The 4,653-nt window shown below is 36.5% G+C and overlaps 1 annotated feature.

Moving 5' to 3' along the window:
* Positions 2,609-2,668: an enhancer, noted in NCBI's record as "active region_21874". NCBI's record gives its function as "activates an Ori minimal core promoter by ATAC-STARR-seq in GM12878 lymphoblastoid cells {active_cell/tissue: GM12878}" and the evidence as "EXISTENCE:reporter gene assay evidence [ECO:0000049][PMID:35858748]".

The raw sequence follows: 4,653 nt of genomic DNA, 5'->3' as shown, positions 1-4,653 counted from the left end.
ATTGGAAAAAACTACTTTAAAGTTCATATGGAACCAAAAAAGAGCCCGCATTGCCAAGTCAATCCTAAGCCAAAAGAACAAAGCTAGAGGCATCACACTACCTGACTTCAAACTATACTACAAGGCTACAGTAACCAAAACAGCATGGTACTGGTACCAAAGCAGAGATATAGACCAATGGAACAAAACAGTGCCCTCAGAAATAATACTGCATATCTACAACCATCTGATCTTTGACAAACCTGACAAAAACAAGCAATGGGGAAAGGATTCCCTATTTAATAAATGGTGCTGGGAAAACTGGCTAGCCATATGTAGAAAGCTGAAATTGGATCCCTTCCTTACACCTTGTACAAAAATTAATTCAAGATGGATTACAGACTTAAATGTTAGACCTAAAACCATAAAAACCCTAGAAGAAAACCTAGGCAATACCATTCAGGACATAGGCATGGGCAAGAACTTCATGTCTAGAACACCAAAAGTAATGGCAACAAAAGCCAAAATTGACAAATGGGTCTAATTAAACTAAAGAGCTTCTGCACAGCAAAAGAAACTACCATCAGAGTGAAGAGGCAACCTACAGAATGGGAGAAAATTTTTGCAATCTGACAAAAGGGCTAATTTTTGCATCTGACAAAGGGCTAATATCCAGAATCTACAATGAACTCAAACAAATTTACAAGAAAAAAACAAATTTACAAGAAAAAAACAAAATTTACAAGAAAAAAACAAATTTACAAGAAAAAAACAAACAACCCCATCAAAAAGTGGGCAAAGGATAAGAACAGTCACTTCTCAAAAGAAGACATTTATGCAGCCAAAAGACACATGAAAAAATTCTCATCATCACTGGCCATCAGAGAAATGCAAATCAAAACCACAATGAGATACCATCTCACACCAGTTAGAATGGCGATCATTAAAAAGTCAAGAAACAACAGGTGCTGGAGAGGATGTGGAGAAATAGGAACACTTTTACACTGTTAGTGGGACTGTAAACTAGTTCAACATTGTGGAAGTCAGTATGGCGATTCCTCAGGGATCTAGAACTAGAAATACCATTTGACCCAGCCATCCCATTACTGGGTATATACCCAAAGGATTATAAATCATGCTGCTATAAAGACACTTGCACACATATGTTTATTGTGGTACTATTCACAATAGCAAAGACTTGGAACCAACCCAAATGTCCAACAATGATAGACTAGATTAAGAAAATGTGGCACATATACACTATGGAATACTTTGCAGCCATAAAAAAGGATGAGTTCATGTCCTTTGTAGGGACATGGATGAAGCTGGAAACCATCATTCTCAGCAAACTATCGCAAGGATAAAAAACCAAACACCGCATGTTCTCACTCATAGGTGGTAACTGAACAATGAGAACACATGGTCACAGGAAGGGGAACATCACGCACTGGGGCCTGTTGTGGGGTGGGGGGAGTGGGGAGGGATAGCATTAGGAGACATACCTAATGTTAAATGACGATTTAATGGGTGCAGCACACCAACATGGCACATGTATACATATGTAACAAACCCACACGTTGTGCACATGTACTCTAAAACTTAAAGTATAATTAAAATAAATAAATAAAGTAAAAAAGAAATCCTAAGGATACTCAAATTGTTGTTTAGGTGAAGATGGATGATGCCTTCCTTGAATCATCAGCTACCACCGACAGAGTGAAGTGAGATGGAATAGTGGGCACAATCTCATTCATCCTACTCTATGTAGCCTAATGGGTCCAGAATTTATTATCACTATTTTACACTGGAAAAAAGATGAGATTATGAGGGGTCAGGGAGGCTTTGAGTTTTTGCTCTAACTTCACCACTAATTAAGAATGTGATCTTGGGTAAGCCACTTTAACCTCTGTAAATGTCAAATTTCTTATCAGTAAAATGTGACTATACAAGACAATAAATTTGAAAATACTTTGCAAAATTGAAAGTACCATGGAAATAATTCTTCAATCCCAAAAGGTTATGAACATTATTAAAATTTGCCACATGGAAGAGCACACACCACAGAGACATAACTGTGATCATAAACAGATTTACAAAAGTGGTGTTTCATTATGGAGGGCCATAGGGCTGATAAAGACAAATGCATCACCAAGCTATGTCCGAGCTCATTCAGATTTTTACAGGAAACACAGAGCTTCTAGCTGAATTATCTCTGGATGGTGTGGAAATTGTCCAACACGTTCCTAATTTCAAAGAAACAGAACTGAATCTTGAAAACCCAAGAGGCCTTTACAGAAACTGACAAGAGATGAATTAATATAGGTATCAAGCTACAGACCAAATTAAAGTTTTACAAAACTTTGAAAGAGGGTCAGAAAGAAGAAACTTATGGGAAGCAGAGTCCTGGAAAGTCAGCTTTGATGGAGTGACAATATGTGCAACACAGTGAGCAATCTCTTAGGTAGGCAGCTTCAGGGATGGGGGTTGCCCTTTGAAAGGACTTGGGCCACTCTTGAGTCTAAGAGGCTAAGTCACAAACAATGCTAAGCAACTAAAAATAGCTTCTTGTTTAATAGTAAAATTCTGCATAGTAAAAGGAGAAGCAGGGGGTATGACACACGTGGTAGTTAGCAGTCTACTAGTGACTTTACTGCCACAACCAGAAAAGCCAGCTGATGTGTCAGACGTGAGAAAGCGAAAGTATGTCACAGCGAATGTAGCTTTTCCACACGTATTTCAAGAAAGAAATGAAAAAGCCAACTTCTATAATGGTGCCTACTGTGCATTAACAGAGATAAACTAGGGGTCTAAGAACTCAGTTTTCTACAGGGTCCCAGAAGTATAGCCATATATTGCCCCATTCTCTAATGGAAATAGCCAGAGAAATAGAAATATCAAGACTGGAGAACATCAAATACCTCATTGGAAAAGCCCCCACATAGGAAAATGTGTGGGCTTGAATTCTTCCATTCTGGAAGGGTAAAGGCCTGAGTGATGATGCTGGGATTAGACACTGAAACTCTTTAGAGAAGCAAAACAAGTATAATAAAGCTGTACTTTATTATATTAAATAAATAACACACAGACTACCAAATAGCCTGCCCCTTATAACAGCGTTAATGTGATTTTGATCTGAAATGTATAGAGACATTTTGCATTTTTTCGTATAAAAAGTTCATGAGATTTGGCCCTAATCTGACCTTTTCTTCATTTTTTTTTCTACTTGAGGGACTATAATCTTTATTTTTAAATTTGTTTTATATTCTCCGAACATTACCTAACGCATAGAAAACTCTTATTGAACCATTTTTCTCTGTTCTTTGTAAAATATTACATTTGACTGTTCCTTAGACTGCTTTAATCATTCCTGCCTATGCACCCTCCTCAAAATCCAGTTTAAATTAATTGTTCCTTATTCAAGATTCCTTATATCCACCTCCCTTGGGGCAGCAATCACCTATCACCCAGGACTACACTTGTGTATGTACATATCTTCCCTATTACAAATCAGGTTCTTTGAAAAAATACAAATGGTAAGAGAGTGGATTTTTGGAGTCAGAACATTCTCTTTTCAAATCCTTCTTCTGCCCCTTACTGGCAATAAGGGCTGAGTGACCTAGAGCAAATTACTTAACTTCTCTGAGCCTCAGTTTTCTAATCTGCAAAATAGGAGCCATCACTTCACAAGTCTGTAAGACTTATATTAGACTAAGTGCCTGCCTGTACACTGTTCTCTTTTCTCTCTTTCTATATACCTGAAGGCATTATAGGTGCTAGATGTCTGTTTAAAGACCAGACAATATTGTCTTAAAAAAACAAACAAAAACACAGACAATACCATCTTTAAAAAAAAAAAAAAAGTCCAGGTAAGAAATAAATAAGGCCATAGAATGGAAGCTTTACAAGGACTCTCTCTGAGACAGGATCTCCTCAAGTGTCCCCAGGTTAAATTAGAAGTATATATCCGTACAATTGTTCAGCCAGTTTGTGCACTGTACTGAGGATGAATGAACACCTATCCTAAATATCCTAGTCTTCTGACTAAAAACAAGATCATATTTCATAACGATTATTGTTACATTCATAGTGTCCCAGGTGATTTAGAGGATAAATAAAAATCCATTAAAGAGGTAAAGACATAAAAACGAGAAACATGGACTGGTTTACACATAACACATACAAAGTCTATTATAAAACTAGCATCAGTATCCTTGAATGCAAACCTTTTTCTGAGTATTTAACAATCGCACCCTTTAAAAAATGTACAATAGACATTAAGAGACTTAAACAGATATATAATCATTTTAAATTAAAATAGCGTTAAACAGTACCTCAAGCTCAATAAGCATTTTAAGTATTCTAATCTTAGTATTTCTCTAGCTGACATGTAAGAAGCAATCTATCTTATTGTATGCAATTAGCTCATTGTGTGGATAAAAAGGTAAAACCATTCTGAAACAGGAAACCAATACACTTCCTGTTTTATCAACAAATCTAAACATTTATTCTTTTCATCTGTTTACTCTTGCTCTTGTCCACCACAATATGCTATTCACATGTTCAGTGTAGTTTTATGACAAAGAAAATTTTCTGAGTTACTTTTGTATCCCCACCCCCTTAAAGAAAGGAGGAAAAACTGTTTCATACAGAAGGCGTTAATTGCATGAATTAGAG

The sequence above is a fragment of the Homo sapiens genome, chromosome 4 (assembly GCF_000001405.40).
Source record: "Homo sapiens chromosome 4, GRCh38.p14 Primary Assembly".
NCBI classification, from domain to species: Eukaryota; Metazoa; Chordata; class Mammalia; order Primates; family Hominidae; genus Homo; species Homo sapiens.
Note: the sequence above shows the minus strand (reverse complement) of the source record. Positions and strands in the feature narration are given on the sequence as shown.